The 26,276-nt window shown below is 51.4% G+C and overlaps 1 protein-coding gene across 2 annotated transcripts, besides 2 other annotated features; it reads right to left on the reverse strand.

Annotated features, from left to right (window-relative positions):
- Positions 1-526: 526 nt before the first annotated feature.
- RGL3 (ral guanine nucleotide dissociation stimulator like 3) lies at positions 527-25,781 on the reverse strand. 2 transcript variants are annotated; one of them, NM_001035223.4, is made up of 19 exons: positions 25,713-25,781; positions 25,138-25,251; positions 23,303-23,526; positions 23,081-23,134; positions 22,404-22,615; positions 13,189-13,331; positions 12,886-13,101; positions 11,790-11,893; positions 11,614-11,698; positions 9,117-9,173; positions 8,922-9,008; positions 8,682-8,714; positions 8,478-8,599; positions 6,669-6,764; positions 6,507-6,575; positions 6,322-6,418; positions 3,912-4,064; positions 3,711-3,825; positions 527-987 (listed from the first exon to the last, which is right to left on the reverse strand). In NM_001035223.4, the coding sequence occupies exons 1-19, from the start codon at positions 25,743-25,745 to the stop codon at positions 869-871; spliced, it is 2,133 nt and encodes a 710-aa protein (NP_001030300.3). In that variant the 5' UTR covers positions 25,746-25,781; the 3' UTR covers positions 527-868. The 2 variants fall into 2 exon arrangements, with proteins under 2 accessions (NP_001030300.3, NP_001155088.2); NM_001161616.3 differs by having other exon boundaries at positions 6,322-6,436.
- Positions 10,133-10,324: a silencer, noted in NCBI's record as "fragment chr19:11514342-11514533 (GRCh37/hg19 assembly coordinates)". NCBI's record gives its function as "represses an EF-1alpha promoter that drives an FKBP-Casp9 reporter gene in an ReSE screen in HepG2 liver carcinoma cells {active_cell/tissue: HepG2}" and the evidence as "EXISTENCE:reporter gene assay evidence [ECO:0000049][PMID:32094911]".
- Positions 12,198-13,149: an enhancer, noted in NCBI's record as "H3K4me1 hESC enhancer chr19:11516407-11517358 (GRCh37/hg19 assembly coordinates)". NCBI's record gives its function as "activates a minimal SCP1, AML or CMV promoter by ChIP-STARR-seq in primed H9 embryonic stem cells {active_cell/tissue: H9 hESC(primed)}" and the evidence as "EXISTENCE:reporter gene assay evidence [ECO:0000049][PMID:30033119]".

A 26,276-nucleotide genomic window follows, 5' to 3' on the forward strand; every position in this document is an offset into this window, starting at 1 on the left:
TCATATCACCACACTCAGAAAATTTTTTGTTTGTTCATTTGTTTGTTTGTTTGTTTTTGAGATAGGGTCTTGCTCTGTCACCCAGGCTGGAGTACAGTGGTGTGATTTCCACTCACTGCAACCTCCACCTTCCGGGTTCAAGCAATTCTCCTGCCTCAGCCTCCCCAGTAGCTGGGATTACAGGTGCATGACACCACGCCCGGCTAATTTTTTGTACTTTTAGAAGATGGGGTTTTGCCATGTCGGCCAGGCTGGTCTCGAACTCCTGACCTCAGGCGATCTGCCTGCCTTGGCCTCCCAAAACGCTGGGATTACAGGCGTGAGTCACCACGCCCAGCCAAATTTTTGTATTTTTTGTAGAGACAGGATCTCGTTATGTTGCCCGGGCTGGTCTTGGCTCTTAGGTTTCTCTCTCTCTGTGTGTTTGTGTGTGTGTGTGTGGGTGTGTGTGTGGTAGCTGTTTTCCTTTATCTTGATAAAGGGTGAACATGGCACACAGGCGCAAAATAAACAAGACTGACACCTGTTTCATAACTCTGGTCACTATTTTCATCCGCATCTGTCACTTCTGATGCGTCTCTAACATTTATAAGATTTCTCTGGGGAGGGATTTGACGTATCCATGCCCCACCTCTTTCTACATTTATGGGATTGAGCTCTCCACCAGCCACCCATGGGCTGATGTCTTTGGAATATGGATCTAGTACCAACAGAGTCAGAAAAAGAGATGGGGTCCAATGGGCTACAGTTGGGTGGTGGTCCTGGGATACACAGCACAGTGGCCTCTACTGGGGGATGGCAGCTTTCCAGGAGAAGAGTCGCAAGCTTGCCTGTGGGACTTGTGTCTTGTGGAGAGGACAGGGCTGCCTCAGCTTGGGGAGACAGACAGAGTGTTCCGGGTCCCCTCTTTCCGCCGCAGCATGAAGTCTCTGGGGGCGACTGGACTCATGGCATAGAAGACGTTGGCATTGTCAGGAATCAGGAGCACTGGTCAGGAGTGGAGATGGTGGTAATAGGCCCTCACAACCTTGTGTCACCCCCACAGAGGACCCGGGAGCCTCCTGCCACTCACCCGCGAACCTGAACAGCCATGGGTCCCTCTGCAGCTACTGCCAAGCCAAGCTCATTCTGCTGTCACTGGGAACCTGGACGACTTCTCACTTGAAAACTTGCACCACCTCATGCCTTCCCTTATCATAAGCCTGGGCAACCTCCTAATATTCTCCCCCTCACCATAGAGACAAGGCAACCTGCAGTAAAAGTTTGAGCAAACTGGCCGGGCGCGATGCCTCGTGCCTGTAATCCCAGCGCTTTGGGAGGCCGAAGTGGGTGGATCACTTGAGGTCAGGAATTCGAGACCAGTCTGGCCAACATGGTGAAACCCCGTCTCTACTAAAAATACCAAAAAAATGAGCTAGGCATGGTGGCACATGCCTGTAATCCCAGCTACTCGGAAGGCTGAGGCAGGAGAATCTCTTGAACCCAGGAGGTGGATGTTGCGGTGAGCCGAGATCCTGCCATTGCACTCCAGCCTGGGCAACAGCACGAGACTCCATCTCAAAAAAAAAAAAACAAAAACAAACAAAACCGACAACCTGCAGTAAAAGTTTGGGCAAACTTAGACCACCCTAGACCACCCCCCGCCAAACAACTTCCTGCTCACCCTACCCCTCCCCCACAACCACTCCCAGCCAATCCCATGCTGCTGTCACCATGAACTTGAATAACTTCCCACTTCCAGCCTGCACGAGCTTGTGGCCTCACACTCAACACCTGAACAACCACAAGCATCCTTTCCTAATATCCAGCCAACCTCATGCCATGTACTTCAGCGTGAATACGCTCAATCCCTTGCTTCTCCCTGTCAGACAGGACAATCTCATGCTTCCGCGGCTATCCATTTGCCTCTCTCCCGTCCCAAGTTCAGATAACTTCAGGGTCCCAGTGGTGAACAAACTTAGTTCTCACAAATCTAAGCCCAGATGCCCTTTAGTCTCCCATCCCATCAGGTTGAGCCTGAACAATCTCATGATGCTACAAACTTAAGATCAGACAAACTTCTACACTCCCTTCTCTCACTCGACCCTAGACAATCTATTTTTTCTTTTTTTTTGAGACGGAGTCTCACTCTGTCGCCAGGCTGGAGTGCAGTGGCGCAATCTTGGCTCACTGCAACCTTCACCTCCTGGGTTCAAGTGATTCTTCTGCCTCAGCCTCCTGAGTAGCTGGGACTATAGGCGCCTGCCACCATGCCTGGCTAATTTTTTGTATTTTTAGTAGAGACGAGGCTTCACCATGTTGGCCAGGATGGTCTCGATCTCTTGACTTCGTGATCCACCCGCCTCGGCCTCCCAAAGTGCTGGGATTACAGGCGTGAGCCACCATGCCCGGCCCCCTTTTTTTTTTTTAATTGAGACAGGGTCTTGCTCTGTCACCCAGGCTGGAGTGCAGTGGCGTGATCTCAGCTCGCTGCAGCCTCCACCTCCTAGGCTCAAGTGATCCTCCCACCTCAGCCTCCCCAGTAGTTGGAGTTGGGAATACAGGCACATGCCACCATGCTCAGCTAATCTCTCTCTCTCTCTCTCTCTCTCTCTCTCTCTCTCTATATATATATATATATATATATTTTTTTTTTTTTTTTTTTTTTTTTTTTGAGACAGAGTCTTGCTCAGTCGCCAGGCTGGAGTGCAGTGGTGCGATCTCGGCTCACTGCAACCTCCGCCTCCTGGGTTCAAGCGATTCTTCTGCCTCAGCCTCCCGAGTAGCTGAGACTACAGGCATGTGCCACCATGCCCAGCTAATTTTTTTGTATTTTTAGTAGAGACGGGGCTTCACCATGTTGGCCAGGCTGGTCTCGAACTCCTGACCTCAAGTGATCCACCCGCTTTGGCCTCCCAAAGTGCCGGGATTACAGGCGTTGAGCCACCGCACCCAGCCAATTTCTCTATTTTTTGTATAGATGGGGTCTCCTCATGTTGCCCAGGCTGGTCTCAAACTCCTGAGCTCAGACAATCCACCCACCTTGACCTCCCAAAGTGCTGGGATTACAGTTGTGAGCCACCATGCCCAGCCCATCCTACAAATTGAAGGTCAGAAACACTCCCTTCTGTCACTTGTCCGTGGACAGTCTTTTTTTTTTTTTTTTTTTTTAAACAGAGTCTCGCTCTGCTGCCCAGGCTGAAGTGCAGTGGTATGATCTCGGCTCACTGCAACCTCCGCCTCCCAGATTCAAGCAATTATTCTCCTGCCTCAGCCTCCTGAGTAGCTGGGACTACAGGAGTGTGCCACCACACCCGACTAATTTTTGTATGTTTCGTAGAGACGGGGTTTCACCACGTTGGTCAGCCTGGTCTCAAACTCCTGACCTCAAGTGATCCGCCCAGCTTGACCTCCCAAAGTGCTGGGATTACAGACATGAGCCACTGCGCCTGGCCGGACCCTGGACAATCTTATTGTCTTTTAAATTTTAGGAAGATGACCTTTGGTACCTCTCTCTCACACTGAGCCAAGACAATCTCATGACCCTACATCGTTGGGTTACAGGTATTTTATGTCCTCTTACCTCCACTGATTATCTTACCCCTACTCTCTGCCTGAAGCACCTCACAGCCCTGTGAACCCGGGTAACCTTGGGCTCCATCCTTGGGCGTGGTCAGTCTGCTCGCCTCCCCGCTGCCCCCTATCCTGAGCTCCAACCCATCCCTGCTCACCCCGGTCCCCAGGAAGGACTTGAAAGAGCTGATAGTCACAGGCCCAGGGCTGGGGCACATTGTGCTTCTGCAAGGCTCGCCGGACCACGCTGGGGGCTTTGTCCTGACTGGTCAGCTGGAAGAGAGGGGCGGGAGGTGAGGTGAGGGCCCCGGCCCCAAGGGCAGGGCAGCCTCCAGCAGACCCCCAGCCCAGCCCCTCACCAAGATGCTTCGATACAGGTTCCCGTGGTCATTGTCGATGCTGACGCGGATGACACGGGCCTCCGAGCTCTGCTGCGCCGGGAGGGGGATTCGAGGGCTGCCCAGAGGCAAAGCGAAGGGCCGGGGGCTGGGCAGGTCCAGGCTCAGGGGCAGCTGCAGGCAGTAAGGGGTGGAGGCTACAGCTTGGCCCATCTGCAGATGCTGAGGGCTAGAAAAGCACGAACACCCCAGCCACCACTGGTGCATTCAATAGCCCCACATTTAAAATCTCAAGAAAACATTGGCTGGGCGCAGTGGCTCATGCCTGTAATCTCAGCATTTTGGGAGGCCGAGGTGGGCGGATCACTTGAGGTCGGGAGTTCAAGACCAGCCTGGCCAACGTGGTGAAACTCCGTCTCTACTAAAAATACAAAAATTAGCAGGGCCTGGTGGCGCATGCCTGTAATCCCAGCTACTTGGGAGGCCGAGGCAGGAGAATCACTTGAACTTGAGAGGCAGAGGTTGCAGTGAGCCAAGATCACGCTACTGCACTCCAGCCTGCGTGACAGAGCAAGACTCCATCTCAAAAATAAATAAATAAATAATAAAATAAAATAAAATCTCAAGAAAACATACTACTACCCCCTACACATGCAGAGCCTGGGACATGCAACTGGAGTACATTCACAAGCCTGCATATACACCACCCTACCATATACAGACTTTGGTTACCTGTTATAGAAACAGACATGAACAGTGTCCATATACACACAACCCATGCTCATACACAAGAAATCCTGTGTACATACATATGCTGACAGCGGTTATACACCCACAGCCCATGCCAATGAACAACCCCACACATGATCTCATGAATACTCAGGCCCACATTTCCTCTTCTGGTACACAGATTCTTTTCTTTTTCTTTTCTTTTTTTTTTGAGACAGAGTCTTGCTCTGTCACCCAGGCTGGAATGCAGTGGTGCCATCTCAGCTCACTGCAACCTCTGCCTCCCAGGTTCAAGCAATTCTCATGCCTCACCCTCCCAAGTAGCTGGGATTACAGGCCTGTGCCACTATGCCCAGCTAATGTTTTTATTTTTAGTAGAGACGGGGTTTCACCATGTTGGCTAGGCTGGTCTCAAATTCCTGGCCTCAAGTGATCCACTGGCCTCGGCCTCCCAAAGTGCTGGGATTACAGGCATGAGCTACCATGCCCAGCCTTCATTTCCTTCATTTCCTTTTCTTTTTTTGTTTTTCTTTTAGAGGGAGCCTCGCTCTGTCACCAGGCTGGATGGAGTGCAGTGGCACCATCTCAGCTCACTGCAACCTCCGTCTCCTGGGTTCAAGTGATTCTCCTGCCTCAGCCTCCCAAGTAGCTGGGACTACAGGTGTGCGCGACCATACCCAGCTAATTTTTCTATTTTCAGTAGAGACAGGGTTTCACCACGTTGGCCAGGATGGTCTCGATCTCTTGACCTCGTGATCCGCCCACCTCGGCCTCCCAGAGTGCTGGGATTACAGGCGTGAGCCACCGTGCCCAGTCTCTTTTTCTTCATAAACAGGATCTCGCTCTATCATGCAGGCTAGAGTGCCGTGGCATGATCGTAGCTCACTGCAGCCTCAAACTCAAGCGATCCTTCCACCTCAGCCTGCTGAGTAGCTGGGACTACACCCAGCTAATTTTTTTGACTTTTAATAGAAATAGGGTCTCACTATGTTGCCCAGGCTGGTCTTGAACTCCCGGCCTCAAGCAATCCTCCCACTTTGGCTTCCCAAAGTGCCGGGATCACAGGCAATAGCCACCGTGTCTGCCATGGTATGCAGATTCTTAGGGACATACATGTCCTCAAAAAAGTGTAGGCTGGGTGCGGTGGCTCACACCTGTAATCCCAGCACTTTGGGAGGCCGAGGTGAGTGCATTGTTTGAGCTCAGGAGTTCGAAACCCACCTGGGCAACATGGCGAAACCTCATCTCTACTAAATAAAAAAAATAGCAGGGCATGGTGGTGCACACCTGTGGTCCTAGCTACTTGGGAGGCTGAGGTGGAAGGATTGCTTGAGCCTGGGGGAGGGGTGGAAGTTGCGGTGAGCTGAGATTGCACCGCTGCACTTCAGCCTGGGTGACAGAGCAAGAAGACCCTGTTTCAAATAAAAAGGGGTGTGATGTGATTGCACCCTAGATGACCCATGGGCAAGCAGTTACACAGGTCCAAATCTGAGCACGAGTCGGATTTATGAGTGATCACCCAAACAGGGCCGTGCAGATGCATGCAATCCCCTGGATGGATACCCCGGGCGCTCAGTGTGCCTCCTGTATACACTCCTGGCCCCACAATCCTGTGTGTACACATGTGCATGCACACACACGTGCACACACACAGAGCCTGGGTGCCCGCAGGCCCGCATGCACACACAAGCCGTCTTGGTACCTTGGTGCTGGGGCCCTGGGGCCCTGGAGAGGCCGGGGGACTGCCAGCAGGAGCATCTCTGCTTCTAGGACTTGAGGGGGGTGACCCTGGGGACACACTGGGGGAGATGCAGAGGCTGAGGTGGGGTGGCTGTGCTGACTCCTGATCCCATGATCCCCAGTCCCATCACCAAGCAGAATGCTCACCTGGAGGTGGGGGATGAGGGGTCCCCGGGACTCCCACTAGGTGATGAGCTTTTCTCTCGGGCAAGCTTCCTAAGGATGGGGACAGGGGATGAGGCTAAGGCAGGAGCAGCCCTTGCTGATATCTGCCCACATCACCGCCCCTACACACACCCCGAGACTCACGCACTGAGACGCTTGGTGAGGCTGATCCGCCGTCGGATGCGTGGGGAGCTGGGGCAGGAGGCAGCTGGTGGCTCAATGACCCGGGAGAGCCGGTAGCTGAGGGGTCAATATGTGGATGAGGTGGTGGGGGCAGGAAATACAGGGGATGGAGAGATAAGAGTTGGAATCAGTTGGGAGGTGGGTTTGGGGTGTAAGGGGGAGCAGCCAGAGGTGGCACCCCACATGCCAGGGTCAGGGTGGTAAATGAGGGTCATTGAGCATCAAGGTCTTATCAGAGATGGGACAGGATGGCTGGTCAGGAGGTCACAAAGAGATTCACAGGGTGGCACTAAGGAATCAAATTGGGTCAGGATTAAAGTCAGGGTCAGGACTGGGTGCAGTGGCTCACGCCTGTAATCCTAGCACTTTGGGAGGCTGAGGCGAGAGGATTGCTTCGGGTCAAGAGTTCGAAACCAGCCTGGCCAATATAGTGAAACCCCGTCTCTACTAAAAATACAAAAAAAATTAGCCAGGTGTGGTAGCTCGCGCCTGTAATTGCGGCTACCGGGGAGGCTGAGGCAGTAGAATTGCTTGAACCTGGGAGGCGGGGGCTACAGTGAGCCGAGATCACTCCACTGCACTCCAGCCTGGGAAACAGAGCCAGACTCTGTCTCAAAAATAAATAAATAAATAAATAAATAAATAAATAAATAAATAAATAAAATAAAGTCAGGGTCAGACTGGGGTCAGGTCACCATTGGGGTCAATGGTTAGGGTCACAGTTATATAGAAAGAAAGGACACAGTTGTCATAGTCAAGCTGGACAGTCAAACATAAAAGTTGGAGTCAGTTACTCAGAACTGAGGGTCAAGGGTTGGGGTCAGAGAGTCAGATGAGGGGTCATGAATAAGGTCATGGGTCAGATAGGACCAAAGATGGGGAAGTCAACAGATGGGACAGTTGAGTTGAATGGCCAGCTGAATGCTAAAGTTGAGGTCAGAAAATCAGATGGGGTTGAAATTGAGGTCAGAGGTCAATTGTGACTATTTTTTTTTTTTTTTTTTTGAGACAGGGTCTCACTCTGTCACCTAGACTGGAACTGCAGTGGCGTGATTTTGGCTCACTCCAACCTCTGCCTCCCAGGCTCCAGCAATCCTCCCACCTCAGCCTCCCAAGTAGTTGGGACCAACGGCACTCAACACCACATTCAGCTAATTTTTTTTTTTTTTTTTTGAGACGGAGTCTCGCTCTGTTGCCCAGGCTGGAGTGCAGTGGCACCATCTCGGCTCCCTGCAAGCTCTGCCTCCCGGGTTCACGCCATTCTCCTGCCTCAGCCTCCCAAGTAGCTGGGACTACAGGCGCCTGCCACTACACCTGGCTAATTTTTTTTTTGTATTTTTAGTAGAGACGGGGTTTCACTCTGTTAGCCAGGCTGGTCTCAAACTCCTTACCTCATGTGATTCACCCGCCTCGGCCTCCCAAAGTGCTGGGATTACAGGTGTGAGCCACCGTGCCCAGCCACGTTCAGCTAATTTTTGTATTTTTTTGTAGATATGGGGTTTCGCCATGTTGCCCAGGCTGGTCTCGAAATCCTGGGCTCAAGTGATCCACCCACCTTGGCCTCCCAAGTGCTGGGATTACACGAGTAAACCACCAGGCCCAGTCTATTTGATTCGACTGGAGATACTGCAAGGTCACAGGTTGTAGTGGGGGATCAGGGCTCAAGAGGGGGTCTTGGGAGGAGCTGGAGGTGTGTATGGAGTGGGTGGAATCCAGTTGGTGACCCAGGCTCAGCTGGGGTGGGGCTGGGACAGGCTACAGGGTGGTCACCTCTGCTCCTCGGTGAGCTGGTTCTGGGCATGCAGGGCAGCCAGGATGGGCGGGTGGGGGCTCAGGGTGTAGCTCTGACAGCGCCTCTGCAGCTGCTGGATGCGGGCCAGGATCTCCCACTCCTGGAGGACGAGCCTCTAAGACCCTACCCCTGCCCCACCCCCACCCTCAGGCACCACCACACCCACTGTAGCCTCCACTCACCTTCCTCCTCTTCTCAAAGTTAATGAGATCCCCCTGGGGGCAAAGTGTGTCTGAATTGCAGCACCCAGGGTCAAGGGTCAAGGGTCAAGGTCAGGGGCTGGGATGTCAGGAGCCCCACTGTAGTAAGGGAGTGTGGGGTGGTGTCAGGAGTACAGGTAGGATCAAGGGTGGATATTGGGAGGCCCATTGTGCTGGGGGCAAGTGGAGCTGGGGTCAGGGGTCAAGGGTCAGGGGTCAGACCTCCAACATATCCGGCAGGGCTGTGTCCAGCATAACCAGGTCCGTAAGGAAGGTGCCAAGGTAGGGGACAGGGCCTGGGGGTGGTTTCTGCAGCCCCCAAAGCTCCAGTCACTTGGGGCCATTACTGACCCCATCACCATCCACAACCCTCCCTGAAGGTCCCACTTGTCCCCATCCCAAACTGTAATCACTCACTGAGGGCAGGCTGCCTGGGGTGTTGTCCTCTTCTTGGGATCCCTCAGTGGCCTCCTCCTGAGGGAAGAGAAAAACTGAGCCAGGTCTGGGGTCTCCTTGGACAATTCCTCAGGAACGATGCCTGCAGACCCATCATATATACCCTTCATGCTTTGAGTAATCAAAAGTCAGTGGTAGGCCAGGTGCGATGGCTCACGCCTGTAATCCCAGCACTTTGGGAGGCCAAGGCGAGCAGATCATGTGAGGTCAGGAGTTCCAGACCACCCTGGCCAATATGGTGAAACCCTGTCTCTACTAAAAATACAAAAATTAGCCGGGTATGGTGGCTCACACCTGTAGTCCCAGCTACTTGGGAGGCTGAGGCAGAAGGATAGCTTGAACCTGAGAAGCAGAGGCTGCACTCTAGAGGGAGTGTCGCTCTGTCACCCAGGCTGGAGTGCAGTGGCGCGATCTCGGCTCACTGCAGGCTCCGCCCCCCGGGGTTCACGCCATTCTCCTGCCTCAGCCTCTCAAGTAGCTGGGACTACAGGCGCCCCCCACCTCGCCCAGCTAATTTTTTGTATTTTTAGTAGAGACAGGGTTTCACTGTGTTAGCCAGGATGGTCTCGATCTCCTGACCTCGTGATCCGCCTGCCTGGGCCTCCCAAAGTGCTGGGATTACAGGCGTGAGCCACCGTGCCCGGCCAAAAAAATTTTTTTTAAGAAAGGGCTGGACATGGTGGCTCACGCCTGTAATCCCAGCACTTTGGGAGGCCGAGGCTGGTGGATCACATGAGGTAAGGAGTTTGAGACCAGCCTGGCTAACAGAGTGAAACTCTGTTTCTACTAAGAATATAAAAAACTAGCTGGGCATGGTAGCATATTTCTGTAATCCCAGCTACTCGGGAGGCTGAGGCAGAAGAATCGCTTGAACCCGGGAGGCGGAGGTTGGAGTGAGCCAAGATCGCACCATTGCACTCCAGCTTGGGCAACAAGACCAAAACTCCATCTCAAAAAAAAAAAAAAAAAAAAAAAGAAGCCAGGGGTTAAGGCCCACTCTAGAAGCCAGACCACCTTGGATGAGGGTAGGGAGGAGATAAACAGCAGGGAGCAGGCCCCATGAGAGGTGGGGCTTGTGGGTAGTGGCCCCCAGGGCTGGCCTTAACAAGGAGAGAATCCTTGTCCGCAGCTGGATGGCACAGGCCTGCCAGGGATCTCCTGGGTATCCTGAATTTGCTGTTGTTTACTTACTTTTTATTTCATTTTATTTTGAGATGGAGTCTCACTTTGTCACTCAGGCTGGAGTGCAGTGGCCTGATCTTGGCTCACTGAAGGCTTGACCGCCCAAGTTCAAGCGATCCTCCCTCCTCAGCCTCCTGAATAGCTGGGACTACAGACGTGCACCACAAACGCCCAGCTAATTGTTGTATTTTTTGCAGAGATGGGGTTTTGCCATGTTGCCCAGGTTGGTCTTGAACTCCTGGGCTCAAGTGATCCTCTCACCTTGGCCTCCCAAAGTGTTGGGATTATAGGCGTGAGTCACTGAGCCCAGCTCACGTGCTGTTCTAGGTGCTGGGCAGGAAAACAGGGTTTCACTCTGTTAGCCAGGTGAAATTTGGCTGGGAGTGATGGCTCACGCCTGTAATCCCAGCACTTTGGGAAGCCAAGGCAGGTGGATCACCTCAGGTCAGGGATTCGAGACCAGCCTGGCCAACACGGCAAAACCCCGTCTCTACCAAATACAAAAATTAGCCAAGCGTCGTGGTGGGTGCCTGTAATCCCAGCTACATGGGAGGCTGAGGCAGAGAGAATTGCTTGATCCTGGGAGGTGGAGGTTGCAGTGAGCCAAGATCGTGCCACTGCACTCCAGTCTGGGTGACAGAGCGAGACTCTGTCTCAATACAAACAAACAAAGAAACAAAAAAACAAATGATGACGACAACAACAACAACAACAAAAAACCAGATGTGTGGTTTTGGGGATGATGGAGGCTGGGAAGGCCTCTCAGAGGCAGGGACATTTAATCAGAGACCAGAAGGAGGTGAGTGAGCAAGTTGCATGCAAACCTGGAGGGGTGGAGAATGTTCCAGGCCCAGGGATCCATTCTAGATTCACTCTAAAAACCAGCGCCTGATTGCAATGAGAATCTAAATCTTGCCTATAAATAAGCCAGACTTTTGACACACATTTTTTAGTTTTGCTTATCAAGGTAAAGTCCTCAGAACATTTTTTTTGTTCCCACCCTGTGCTATGACTCTGGCCTTAAGTAACCTTTTCTTTGTGACTTCTTGTGTTTTGCTGAGTGAATAAATAGGGCAGTCACTGACAGTCAACTATAACGCAGGAAGTAGAGGAAAGAAAAACGTGCAACCCGCCAGGGACAAGGATAAGGTCATTGCTGAGCGGTAGGGAAGGACAGAGTGTCCTGACTATAGCAGGGAGATTACCCCTGCCTGGCCCCAAGTCCCTCCCCCGACTTCCCGGGCCTAAAATCCCTGGAGTCTGCATCCATCTCTACCTGGAAAAGAATCTCTCTGCTGCTGAGGTGGTTGTTCTCATCGGAGAAAATCTGCGAAAGTTTCCTGAAAGTAGATAGCGGTTCCCTGGAAGGACAGGAGAAGGGTGGTCAGGGGTCAGTGGCTTGGGAGGGTCAGACCTGGGATGGGCTGGGGAACAGGTCCCGCCCCAGCTCACCGGCTCACTGCCCCCCAGCTGCGCTTGAGCCGGTAGATGGGGTTAGATTGCAGGGCGGACAGGATGGCGCGCAAGGAGGAGAAGTTCCGCAGTTCTCGGCAGCGCTGCCAGGCGGTGGGGACGCAGGTCAGACCCAGGCATTATCCACCTTTCATCCTGAAACTTCTTCATCTTTTTTTTTTTTTTTTTTTTTTTTTTTTTTTTTTTTTTTTTTTTTGAGAGATAGGGTCTGTGGCCCAGGCTGGAGTGCAGTGGCTCGATCATAGCTCACTTGCTGCCTGGAATTCCTGGGCTTAAGCGATCCACATGCCTCAGCCTCCTGCCTCAGTAGCTGGGACTACAGGCGCGCGCCATCATGCATGGCTTATTATTATTATTATTATTAATTATTTGGACAGAGTCTCGCTTTATCCCCCAGGCTGGAATGCAGTGGCCCGATCTCGAGTCACTGCAACCTCCGCCTCCCGGGTTCAAGTGATTATCCTGCCTCAGCCTCCCAAGTAGCTGGGATTACAGGGGCACACCACCACACCCGGCTAATTTTTTTGTAAGTCTCATTTTTAATTTTTTTAATTTTTTTTTTTTTTCTAGAAACATTGGTCTCACTATGTTGCCTAGGCTGGTCTCAAACTCAAGGGCTCAAGCGATCCTCCCTCTCCCCAAAGTGCTGGGATTACAGGCGTGAGTCACTGCGCCCAGCCTGATCCCGTGACTTGTGACGCCAGGTCGGACCCCTGGGTGTTGTCTCACATCCGACAAGCTACCAAGACTCCCACTTATTCCCTAGGATTCCCTTCCTCCCTCCTCCCTCGGGCTCCAGCCCCTCCCCAGCTGCCCCTCCAGCCCCTGCCTCCGACCTTGACTTCTCCGGTCCGGGCTCCCTACTTCTCCCAGCTCCCTTGGGACCTAGTCGTGCCCGCGGCCTCTCTGCAGGACCCAGACCCTCCTCCCTGAACCCAAGTCTCACCCTAGGTATCAACTTTCCACCCCGTTCCCTCCCTCGCCTAGACTCGCCCCTATCTCTCTCCGGAGCCCTCATTTTTTCCCCTTGCCCCAGGGCCCGCCCCCGCATCCCCTCTCCGCGCCCGCAACACACCTGGGCGATGCGGATCCACTTCTCCAGCCGCTGCGCCCTCTGCGGGGCGGCCAAGCCCGGTGCTCCGAGCACGGAACCCAGCACACAGCCGGTCACGGTGTTGAACTGGGCCACGGTGGCGCGCACAGTGGGGGAGGCGCCTGCAGCCCCCGGCCGGTCCCTCTGCGACCACACGGAGCCCAAGCACTCGTAGAGCCTCACCTTGGAGAAGAGCTCCTGGGCCAGGGGAGGGGTGTGGGATTGGTGCTTAGCAGAACCTGTCCCCTCACTGTGGCTCATCCCGACCCTGTCCGGGATCCTCACCAAGTCTATGAGGGTCAGCTGCTCGGCCACCTCGTCCACGCTGAAGTCCAGGAGCTGGGGACCTTGAGGCATGAGCCCTTCCTCTTCCTCCGCGCAGGCCTCTGAAGAGTCTGGGTCAGAAGTTTGGGCAACTCTGGGAGGTCCTGATCATTAGAAAGGGTTACAAACTCTCAAGTTTGAATCCAAGACTGGCTGTGTGACCTTGGGTGAGTCCCTGTCCCTCTCTGAGGCTCACTTTCCTCATTTGTAAAACGGAGAGCTCTCTTAAATTTTTTTTTTTTTTTGAGACAGTCTTACTCTGTTGCCCAAGCTGGAGTACAATGGCGCAATCTCAGCTGACCACAACCTCCGCCTCCTGGGTTCAAGTGATTCTCCTGCCTCAGCCTTCTGAGTAGCTGGGATTACAGGCATGTGCCACCATGCCCGGCTAATTTTTGTATTTTTAATAGAGACGGGCTTTCACCATGTTGGCCAGGCTGGTCTCAAACTCCTGACCTCAAGTGATCTGCCCGCCTTGGCCTCCCAAAGTGCTGGCATTACAGGTGTGAGCCACCACGCCTGGCCCTGAGTGTTTTTAAGGATGTAACAGCAACAGTAATGTTCACTAAGCAGCTAGTGTGGATTTACTCAGTAACTCACCACTGAGTTACTGTGAGTCCAGTGAGGGAGGTACTATTATTTATCCACCTTTTACAATTAAGGAAAGGGAGGCAAAGAACAATTTGTCACACCTTTGGTAAATGGCAGGGCAGGGGTTTGAAGCCGGGTACTCAAAGGCCAGAGAAGAAAATAGAGCTTTATGATTTTTAACATGTATTAGGATAAGATTAATCTGACCTCTTTTTTTTGGAAAGAGGTGATACGACTTCCTGGTTCAGGGAAGGCTATTGTCAGAAAGTCTCAAACTCAGATGCAAACTCGTCCACTAGCTTGCTGTGTAGAGCATGTATTTTAACCTCTCTGTGCCTTTTTTTTTTTTTTTTAAGACGGAGTCTGACTCTGTCGCCCAGGCTGGAATGCAATGGCGTGATCTTGGCTCACTGCAACCTCCGCCTCCAGGTTTCAACCAATTCTCCTGCCTCAGTCTCCCAAGTAGCTGGGATTACAGGCACGAGCCACCACGCCCAGCTAACTTTTGTATTTTTGTAGAGACAGGGTTTCACCATGTTGGCCAGGCTGGTCTTGAACTCCTGACCTCAAGTGATCTGCCTGCCTCGACTTCCCAAAGTGCTGGGATTGCAGGGGTAAGCTGTGCCTTCTTTTTGAAACAGGCTCTCCCTTGGTCACCCAGGCTGGAGTACAGTGGTGTGATCACAGTTCACTGCAGCCTCAACCTTTTGGGCTCCAGTGATCCTCCTGCCTCAGCCTCCTGAGTTGCTGGGACTATAGGCACACACCACCATGCCCAGCTAATTTTTTATTTTTTGTAGAGACAGGGTCTCATTATGTTGCCAGGCTGGTCTCAAACACCTGGGCTCAAGCGATCCTCCCTCTTGGCTTCCCAAAGTTTTGGGATTGCGGGTGTGAGCCAGTGCGCCTGGCTGTGGATTTCGTTTTTGTTTTCGTTTAAGATCATGCTGCCGGGCGCTGTGGCTCACGCCTGTAATCCCAGCACTTTGGGAGGCCGAGGCGGGTGGATCACCTGAGGTCAGGAGTTCGAGACCAGCGTGGCCAACACGGTGAAACCCCGTCTCTACTAAAAAAAAATACAAAAATTAGCCGGGCGTGATGGCACGCGCCTGTAATCCCAGCTACTCGGGGGGCTGAGGCAGGAGAATCGCTTGAACCCTGGAGACGGAGCTTGCAGTGAGCCGACATCGTGTCACTGCACTCCAGCCTGGCGACAGAGCGAGACTCCATCTCAAAAAAAAAAAAAAAGATCATGCTACCAGACTGCTATAAAGTGCTGAACAAATATGAATAATTTTACTTTAGTGGATTTTGATGGTGGCACCCTGGAGGGGAAACTTTGGAAACTGGGATCCTGAATTGTGCCCTCTAGCCTCCAAATGTATCTCCAGACATTTGTGTCTTTGAAAAACCTGTTTGTGGCTGGTCCCAAGGTAGTGACTTATCTCAATTGATTGTTCACAGTTACAGATCGAACTCCTTGTTCTACTCTTTCCCCCCTTCTCACTACTGCACTTGACTTGTCTTTAAGAAAGGAAGAAGGGGTCTGGCACAGTGGCTCACACATGTAATCCCAGCACTTTGGGAGGCCAAGGCAGGCGAATCACTTGAGGTCAAGAGTTCGAGACCAGTCGGGCCAACATGGCGAAACCCTGTCTCTACTAAAAATACAAAAATCAGCTGAGCATGGTGGCAAGTGCCTGTAATCCCAGCTCGGGAGGCTAAGGCTAGAGAATCACCTCAACCTAGAAGGTGGAGGTTGCAGTGAGCCAGGTCCACGCCACGGCACTCTAGCCTGGGTGACAGAGACTTTGTCTCAAAAAAAAAAAAAAAAGAAAAGAAAAGAAGGCCGGGGGCAGTGGCTCACGCCTGTAATCCCAGCACTTTGGGAGGCCAAGGCGGGTAGATCACGAGGTCAGGAGATCGAGACCATCCTGGCTAACATGGTGAAACCCCGTCTCTACTAAAAAATAGAAAAAATTAGCCAGGCGTGGTGGCGGGCGCCTGTAGTCCCAGCTACCCAGGAGGCTGAGGCAGGAGAATGGCGTGAACCGGCGAGGCGGAGCTTGCAGTAAGCCGAGATCATGCCACTGCACTCCAGCCTGGGCGACAGAGCGAGACTCCATCTCAAAAAACAAAACAAAACAAAACAAACAAACAAACAAAAACAAAAAGAAAAGAAAAACATGTTTGCAATAATATGCACCTAGAACCTGACTATTTTGTTCATAAACACAAATTTTTTTGGCTCCAAGAATGCAAGGACCACGAAAGTCTGGGCTTTGTTTTGTTTGCAAATTGCAAATGTTGTTCACAAGTTTGGAAAATGATGTCCCCAGAACCTATGTTGCTGTCTTTGCCTCACCAGTGCCCTCCTGTGCGTTCGTTGGTGCTTGTTGCTGTCAGTACAACAGCACCGTGACACTCTACTGTGACGCTAGGACAGGCAAAGACACGGGACAACCTCATCATGTGTCCTAGTGGGGCATACCCAAGCATTACCCATTGAAAACATGGTTTATTGCTGTGTAAGTTACTCTCACTTTCCTTCTCCTTTGTACTAGTTATGGCATCATACTATTATTTTATTTTATTTTTTTATTTTGTGATGGAGTCTTGCTCTGTCGCCCAGGCTGGAGTGCAGTGGCTCGATCTCGGCTCACTGCAACCTCTGCCTCCAGGGTTCAAGCAATTCTCCTGCCTCAGCCTCCTGAGCAACTGGGACTACAGGAGGTGCCACTATGCCCAGCCAGCTAATTTAAATATATATATATTTTTTTATTATTTATTTATTTTTTATTTTATTTTATTTTATTTTTTATTTTTTTTAGTAGAGATGGGGTTTCACCATGTTGGCCGGACTGGTCTCGAACTCCTGACCTCAGGTGATCCTCCTGCCTCGGCTTCCCAACGTGCTGGGATTACAGGCATGAGCCATAGCACCCTGCCCCAATACTATTATTTTAAAATAATCTTTGTAAATCTGTGTAATTACCTCTTTCATCTTGAATTAGGACAGGTGGCATTGCAAAATATTAGTTTTTAGAAGTGGGTACTGGGCTGGGCACACCTATAGTCCCAGCACTTTTGGAGGTTGAGGTAGGAGGATTGCTTGAGACCAGGAGTTTGAGACCAGCCTGGGCGGCGTAGTGAGACCCCATGTCTACATAAAAAAATTTTTAAAGTTGCGCATCCTGATGCACACCTGCTGTCCCACCTACTCAAGAGGCTTAGGAGGGAGGATCTCTTGAGCCCAGGAGGTCAAGGCTGCAGTGAGCTGTGATCATGCCATAGCACTCCAGCCTGGGTGACAGAGCAAGAAACTGTCTCTCCTCCCCCCACCCCAAAAAAAAGTGGGCCCTGGAAAAAAAAATGCCCTACATCTAATCAAACCTTTAAATCTTACAGCAATTATGGGGATAGAGAAACATGCTGCATGAAACCATGAGGTAAGTCGAAAAGAATGTGAGACATACCTCAGGAAAAATGACCCATTTTTTTTGCCCTCTAATGGCTTCAAACAAGAGGCAAGGGGGATCTGTTACAGAATAAAAGAGACTTAGGAACAAACGACCGGTAGGGCGTGGTGACTCATGTCTGTAATCCCGACACTTCGGGAGGCCGATGTGGGCAGATCACTAAAGGTTAGGAGTTCAAGACCAGCCTGGCCAACATGGTGAAACCCCCTCACTACTAAAAATACAAAAATTAGCTGGGCGTGTTGGTGGGCACCTGTAAACTCAGCTACTCAGGAGGCTGAGCCAGGAGAATCGCTTGAACCCAGGAGGCGGAGGTTGCAGTGAGCCAAGATCACGCCACTACCCTCCAGCCTGGACAACAGAGTGAGACTCCATCTCAAAAAAAAAAAAAAAAAAAAAAAGAGAAGCAAACAACCAAATACCTTGAGTAGATCTTTGGATTTCAATTTGAAGAAACAACTATTCCTCCTTCCCCCAGCTCTATCGCCTGGAGTGCAGGGGCATGCTCACAGCTCACGGCAGCTTTGATTTCCCGGAGTCAAGAGATCCTCCCATCTCAGCATCCTAAGTAGCTGGGACTATAGGCATGTGCCACAACACCTGGCCAGAAACAACTGTCAAAAGAAAATTTAGGGCTGGGTGCCATGGTGGGCACCTGTGGTCCCAGCTACTCAGGAGGCTGAGGTGGGAGGGTCAGGAGTTCAAGCCCAGCCCAGGCAAAATAGGAAAACCCAGTGTCCAAAAAAAGGTTCAGGCACAAACAGGGGATTTGAATATTTGAATATAGACTGGGTATTTTTTCTGTTTTTGAGGCAGGGTCTCGCTCTGTCACCTAGGCTGGAGTACAGTGGCATAATCACGGCTCACTGCAGCCTTGACCATCCCAGGCTAAAATGATCCTCTTGCCTCAGCCTCCCAAGCAGCTGGGACTATAGGCAGTCACCACCATGCCCAGCTAATTATTTGTAGACACAAAGTTTCAACATGTTGCCCAGGCTAGTCTCAATCTCCTGGGCTCAAGCCATCCACCTGCCTTGGCCTCCCAAAATGCTGGGATCGCCAGCAGGAGCCTCTGCATCTGGCCTGGATTGGATTTTTTTTATATCAAATATTTCTGATTTTTTTTTAAGTATGAACATGAAGGTTATTAAAAAATAAAAATAAAAGGGCCGGGCGCCATGGCTCACGCCTGTAATACCAACACTTTGGGAGGCCAAGGTGGGCGGATCACCTGAGGTCAGGAGTTCGAGACCAGCCTGACAAACATGGAGAAACCCCCCTCTCTACTAAAAATAGAAAATTAGCCGGGTGTGGTGGTGCACGCCTGTAATCCCAGCTACTCGGGAGGCTGAGGCAGGAGAATCACTTGAACCCAGGAGGCAGAGGTTGAGGTGAGCTGAGATCCTGCCATTGCACTCCAGCCTGGGCAACAAGAGCGAAACTCCGTCTCAAAAAAAAAAAAAAAAAAAGTAAGCCTGTTGTCAGACATGTGTACCCAAAACATTTATGTATGAATTGACATAAGCCCGGGATTTGTTTTAAAATCATCCTGAAAATATTTTTTTGTGAAATTGATCATCGTTGATGATAGGTGATGGATGTCTGAATGTTCTTCATACTATTCTCTCTACTTTTGTATATGTCTGAAATTTTCCATAGCAAAAAGTGAACCCAAAATAAAGTTGTTAAAATAAAATAGATGAGCATGGTGGTCATCTACTTTCTTCTAAACTACATGGTGCAAGTGTAGTCTTAGCTACTCAGGAGGCTGAGGTAGGAGGCTCACTTGAGCCCAGGAGTTCGAGTCCAGCCTGGGCAACAGAGCAAGACCCTGTATCTAAAAATAAAATTCATAGTCGGGTGCGGTGGCTCACGCCTGTAATCCCAGCACTTTGGGAGACCGAGGCAAGCGGATCACGAGATCAGGAGATCGAGACCATCTTGGCTAGCACGGTGAAACCCCGTCTCTACTAAAACTACAAAAAATTAGCTGGGCCTGGTGGCGGGCGCCTGTAGTACCAGCTACTCAGGAGGCTGAGGCAGGAGAATCACTTGAACCCAGGAGGTGGAGGTTGCAGTAAGCCAAGATCGCGCCATTGCACTCCAGCCTAGGCGACAGAGCGAGACTCTGTCTCAAAATAAAATAAAAGTAAAAATAAATAAAATAAAATAAAATGAAATAAAGTGTGTCCCAGGGCCTAGCACATAGAAGGTCTTAAACAAATGTTAATTTTCTCCTCTGACCTCAAAGAAACTAGGGCAGCACTTTCCATATAATTCTCTGCAATGGTGGAAAAATTATCTATCTGCTATGTCCAGTGTGGTGGCTGAGCACTCAAAATGTGGGTAGTGGGATTGAAGACCTGAATTTTTGCCTTTGCTTGACTGGATTTTGAAAAAGAAAAAAAAAAAAAAAAAAAGCGGGCCAGGCATGGTAGCTCACGCCTGTAATCCCAGCACTTTGGGAGACCGAGGTGGGTGGATCACCTGAGGTCAGGAGTTCAAGACCAGACTGACCAACATAGTGAAACGCTGTCTCTAATAAAAATACAAAATTAGCTGGGTGTGGTGGCAGGTGCCTATAATCCCAGCTACTTGGGAGGCTAAGGCAGGAGAATCTTTTGAACCTGGGAGGAGGAGGTTGCAGTGTGCCGAGATGGCGCCACTGCACTCCAGCCTGGGTGACAGAGCGAGGCTCCGTCTCAAAAAAAAAAAAAAAAAAAAAAGGGCAGGGTCAGGCACAGTAGCTCACACTTACAATCCCAGCACTCTGAGAGGTTGATGCTGGAGGATTGCTTAAGCCCAGGAGTTCGAGACCAGCCTGGGCAACATGGCAAGACCCCATCTCTAAAAAGAAAAGACCTGAATTTTATTTAATTTTAATTAATTAATTAATTATTATTATAATTTTGTTTTTTGGTTTTTTTTTTTTAGGCAGAGTCTCGCTCTGTCACCCAGGCTGGAGTTCAGTGGCTTGATCTCAGCTCACTGCAAGCTCCGCCTCCCAGGTTCGCGCCATTCTCCTGCCTCAGCCTCCCGAGTAGCTGGGACTACAGGCGCTCGCCACCACGCCCGGCTAATATTTTTTTGTATTTTTAGTAGAGACGGGGTTTCACCATGTTAGCCAGGATGGTCTCGATCTCCGAACCTTGGGATCCGCCCCCGTCGGCCTCCCAAAGTGCTGGGATTATAGGCATGAGCCGCCGCGCCCAGCCAATTTTAATTAATTTAAATAGCGACAGGGGCTAGTGGATACCACAGTGAACTATGGAGCTCTAATGACTTGGAATCAGCTGGAGAAATCATATATATATATATATATATATATATATATATATATATATATACACCTATATATATATACCTTTATATATATATATACCTTTATATATATATACCTTTATATATATATATACCTTTATATATATACCTTTATATATATATACCTTTATATATATATACCTTCATATATATACATATATATATATACCTTCATATATATATATATACCTTTATATATATATACCTTTATATATACCTTTATATATATATATACCTTTATATATATACCTTTATATATATATACCTTTATATATATATACCTTCATATATATACATATATATATATACCTTCATATATATATATATATATACACCTTCATATATATATATATATATATATATATATATATATATATACCTTTATATATATATAAATAACTGAGACTTTGTCACCAGGGATAGAGAAGTGGCTGCTACTTTGTAAATTGGACAGGAAGGTGGCCACTATAATCTGGAGATTAAGCGATGGGGATTAGGGATAGAGATGCTTTTGTGATGTGGATCAGATCAAATACAGATGGGTGAAAGATGATACTTCCTAAGCAGGATGCAATTATTCAGCAAACTAATCTGTGTTGTTCCTGCCCCTGGGGACAGAGCTGGGAGCAAGAACAACAGGTCCTCCTCTCATGCACTCACAGCCTATGAGATGAGCAAAAGCCAATAATCAAGTAAGGAGGCTACGCATGCACAATGGCTTATGGCTGTAATCCCAGCATTTTGGGAGGCCAAGGCAGGCAGATCACTTGAGTTCAGGAGTTTGAGACCAGCCTGGGCAACATGGCACAACCTCACCTTTACAAAAAAATTAGCCGGGCGTGGTGACATGCGCCTGTGGTCCCAGCTACTCAGGAGGCTGAGACAGGAGAATGGCTTGAGCCCAGGAGGTGGAGGTTGCAGTGAGCCAAGATTGTGCCACTGCACTCCAGCCTGGGTAACAGTGCGAGACTCTGTCTAAAAAAAAAAATAGATAAAAAAATAAAATTAAATTAAATTAAATTTAAAAAGAAATTCAAAAATAAGAAAAATTTTACAGGCTAGGTATAGTGGCTCGCGCCTGTAATGCCAGCAGTTTTGGAGACCCAGGCGGGAGGATCACCTGAGTCCAGGATGTTGAGCCTGCACTGAGCCATGATGGAGACACTGCACTCCAGCCTGAGCAACGGAGCAAGACCCTGACTCAAAAAAAAGAAAATAAAGACAAGTATCAAGGCAATGGTTTGTAGCTAGAAACACAGAGCATCCTGACCCAACGGCACCAAGGAGGGAAAAGTATTAGACACATGCTAATACTTCAGACAAAGAATTTGTTTTTTTTTTTAGACGGAGTTTCGCTCTGGTTGTCCAGGCGAGAGTGCAATGGCACGATCTCGACTCACCGCAACCTCCGCCTCCCGGGTTCAAACGATTCTCCTGCCTCAGCCTCCCGAATAGCTGGGATTATAGACATGCCCCACCACGCCCGGCTAATTTTGTATTTTTAGTAGGGATGGGGTTTCTCCATGTTTGTCAGACTGGTCTCAAACTCCTGACCTCAGGTGATACACCATCCTTGGCCTCCCAAACTGCTGGGATACAGGCGTGAGCCACCACGCCCGGCTGACAAAGAATTATTATCCCCATTGTAAAGATGAAGAAATTGAGGCTTAGAGTTTAAAATCTTGCTTAAGTTTTGTAGCTCTGAGAGGGGAGAGAAAGCCTGTGTGGGAAGAAGCAGACAGGAAAGGCCTTCTCAGAACACGACTGGATCTGAAAACCCCTCACCTGTCCACACCTGAGGCGGCTCCTCTTCCTGCTCTCGCTCAGCCTCCTCCAAAAAATCTTCCAGAAGCTTCTCTGCTTTTTGAGCCTCAGCACTCCCTGGGGCCGCCCAGCCCAGAAAGGTTCGGACACTGCCCAGGTCCGAATGGGCAGGGTGGTCTCGGAAATCCTGAGGGTGGTCCTGCAGCCAGGAGCCCAGCACTGACACCACAGCCCTGGCCAGAGAGGCAGGGTCTCAGAGCTGGGTCCAGAGTGGGGGACATAGAATATGACTCCTGGTACCTTTTTTTTTTTTTTTTTTTTGAGATAGAGTCTTACTGTGTCACCAAGGCTGCAGTGCAATGGCCTGATCTTGACTCACTGCAACCTCAGCCTCCCGAGTAGCTGGGACTACAGGCATGCGCCACCACACCCAGCTACCTTTTTTTGTTGTTGTTGTATTTTTAGTAGAGACAGGGTTTCGCCATATTGGCCAGGATGGTCTCTAACTCCTGACCTCCAGTGATCCACCTGCCTCGGCCTCCCAAAGTGTTGGGATTACAGGCATGAGCCACCACGCCCCACCTGACTCCCAGTCTCTTATTACCCAACCTGCAATTTTCAAAACCCCAGTCCGACTGCTAACCTTTGACCTCTTGGATTTCCCTCCCCGCACTCCCCTATCTGGATGAAGGACCCACCTCAGGTTCTTGTTGAAGCTCAGATCTTGTACCGCTGTCTTCTTGATCTCTACCCTGGGAAGAGGCCCCCCAGCAGGTGAAGAAGGGGGAACCTAGAGGGGGCTTAGGAAGAGGGCTCTGGGTCTGGGAGGTGTTTCCAGGTTCCACACCTGAGGAGGTGGAGGGGGGTGCCCAGTTGGGGTTCTAGGGTGGAGAATACGGAGGTTATGGTTCGCTACTGACCCGGGAGGTGGGGGCGGTGGCATTGGTGGCAGCAGAAAGCCCAGCAGGCAGGCAGTGGGTACAAAGGTCCGGTAGGTGGCCAGGAAGGCGGGCATGAAGCTGGGGTCCTGCTCACGGTCTCCAAACACCAACTCTCCCACCAGCCGCTCCAGGCGCGCTGCCCTCAGCACCCTCACCTTGCTGGTTCGATAGTGGAGGAAGGTATTGGCAATGGGGCTGGGAGCCTGCAGGAGGGGAGAGGTGGCCATGAGAGAGCAGGAGTGGTCCTCACAGCACCCCTTCTCTAGTCACATTCATCACTAGCACCACTCTTTTTTTTTTTGTTTTTTTTTTTGAGACAGAGTCTCACTCTGTTGCCCAGGCTGGAGTGCAGTGGCACGATCTTGGGTCACTTCAACTTCTGCCTCCTGGGTTCAAGCAATCCTCCTTCCTCAGCCTCCAAGTAGCTGAAACTACAGGCGCACACCACCAAGCCCAGCTAATTTTTGTATTTTTGTAGAGATAGGGTTTCACCATGTTGGTCAGACTGGTCTCGAACTCCTGACCTCAAGTAATCTGCCCCCCTTGGCCTCCCAAAGTCTCCCAAAGGGCTAGGATTACAGGCGTGAACCACCGTGCCCAGCCCCTAGCACCACTTTTTTTTTTTTTTTTTTGAGACAGAATCTCACTCTGTCACCTAGGCTGGAGTTCAGTGGCGTGATCTTGGCTCACTGCAACCTCCGCCTCCTGGGTTCAAGCAATTCTCTGCCTCAGCCTCCCAAGTATCTGGGATTACAGGCACCCGCCACCAAGCCCAGCTAGTTTTTTCGTATTTTTAGTAGAGACGGTGTTTCACCGTCTTGGCCAGGTTGGTCTTGAACTCCTGACCTGATGATCCACTTGCCTCGGCCTCCCAAAGTGCTGGGATTACAGGCGTGAGCCACCTCGCCCCGCCTGTAGCACCATTCTTTCATGTGATTCCTCTGTCTCCCGGCTTCTTGGAGTTATTGTTTTGGTTTGTTTTTTTTAGAAACAGGTCTTGTTTTGTTGCCCAGGCTGGGGTGCAGTGGCACAATCATAGCTCACTGCAGCCTCCAAGTCCTAGACTCAAGCGGTCCCTCTGCCCCAGCCTCCTGAGTAGCTGGGACCACTGCTGGGCATCATCACGCACAGCTAGTTTTTTAATTTTTATTTTTATTAGAGAGAATCTTGCTGTGTTGTCCAGGCTGGTCTCCAATTCCTGGCCTTCTGCCTTGGTCTCTCGAAGCGCAGGGATTATAGGTGTGTGCCCCACTCCCTGCCCGCTTGAAGTTATTGTTCCTCCCCATCCACAAATAGCTCCTGCAACTTGCCCTGGAAACCCTCCCTCTCCCATGCCCTGTCCCCTACTCCCTCTCCCGTCCCCTCCCCCTCCCGTCCCCTCCCCCCACCCCCCCGCCCCCGCCCCACACACTCTTTTCCACCCAGGGCTTCCCTCAGCCCTCCTGTCGCGCTTCACTGGCTGCCCCATCCGCCCTCACCTAGCCACTTCTAAACCAACCCCATTCCACCTTCCAGCCCCGGCCCTCTAAACCTGCCTTTCCCAACTCTGCCGTCCAGTTCTGTCCTTACCAAGTTGTCCCTAGGCTCCTCTCGGGAACTGCGCGGCCATCGCCTGGCCCCACCCCATTCCCTGGATCTCCCCCCACTTACCTGGCCGCCCCCAGTCCCCTTTCTACCTGGTCGCCTCATCTGGTCGCCTCCGAGCCCCTCCCTTCCTTCCGCCCACTGCACCTGGCGGCCTGTGCTCGGCTCTCCAGCTCCGCCCTCAACTGGTCGCTTCCGGCCCCGCGCCACCCACCAAACCCCCTCCTCACCTGGCTGCCCCCGGGGCCCTCCGCCGGGCTCCTGCGCTGACTGCGCTGCCGCCGCAGGGAGACACTGTACACCGCGCCGTCCTCGGTCTCTTCACCCCAGTCCTGCAGCGGTGCCTGGACGCACAGGCGGACTCAGGGCACCAAAGGGGCACAGGTCCTGGGGCCTCAGCCTCCTTGGCCGCTCGGACTCGGGCCGAGTCCTCCTGCTGCATCCCCACGCCCCTTCCCGGCCAGAAGCTGCGAGACTAGGGCTGGGGTCCCAGGCTAGTCCCCTCCTCGCTGCGGGTCCCCTCCTCCCAGGTCCTGAGGACATGGGGTGGCATTTGGGGATGTCCCAGGGCCCAGTCTAATAGAACCTGTCTCTAGCTCTTTCTGCCGACTGCGCTCAGAGACTCGCGCCCCCATCCCTAAGAGGAACCAGTCGCTTCACTGGGTCAAGGGCCGCGAGTCCCCAGGAGGGGACTCCAGGGCAAGTTCAGATTGGGAGCAGATACCGTCCGACGGGCGGGCGCTTGGAGTTTCTGGACCTGCGGGTCACCAGGGATGCGGGGTCCGGGGATCCCTTGTCCCCTTACCAGGGCCAGCTCTTTGCCTGCTGTGCGCTCCATGGCCGGCGCCCGTCCCTCTCAGTGGCGCCGCTGAGTGAGGCGGAAGGGCCGGCGGGTGGCGGGTGGCGGGCGGCGGGCAGTGGCCGGGCGCTGAGGCCAGAGGGGCGGAGCGGCCGAGCTGCTGGGGCGGGGCGGGGCAGGGCAGGCCGGACCCAGCCTCTGGGTGCCTCCAGCCGGACCCAGCGCCAGCCCAGGAGAGGTCCTGGCTCTTCCGCTGGGTGCCTATCAATCTGTCCCCAGAAGAAAGGACATATCTGTCCCCAAGGGGTCTTTTTTGTATCCCCAGATGTGGGGGAGCTCCTGTGTGGGGGCATGTGTGTGTCCCCAGACCAGAGTCCTCTGTCCTCCAGTGGAAGGGGCTAGCTTGATCAAGTGTGGGGGCATCTTCCACTTTTTATTATTATTGCTATTATTTTGAGATGGAGTCTCGTTCTGTCACCCATGCTGGAGTACAGTGGCTTGATCTTAACTCACTGCAACCTCCGCCTCCCAGATTCAAAGGATTCTTGTGCCTCAGCCTCCCAAGTAGCT

Source organism: Homo sapiens, chromosome 19 (assembly GCF_000001405.40).
Source record: "Homo sapiens chromosome 19, GRCh38.p14 Primary Assembly".
NCBI lineage: Eukaryota > Metazoa > Chordata > Mammalia > Primates > Hominidae > Homo > Homo sapiens.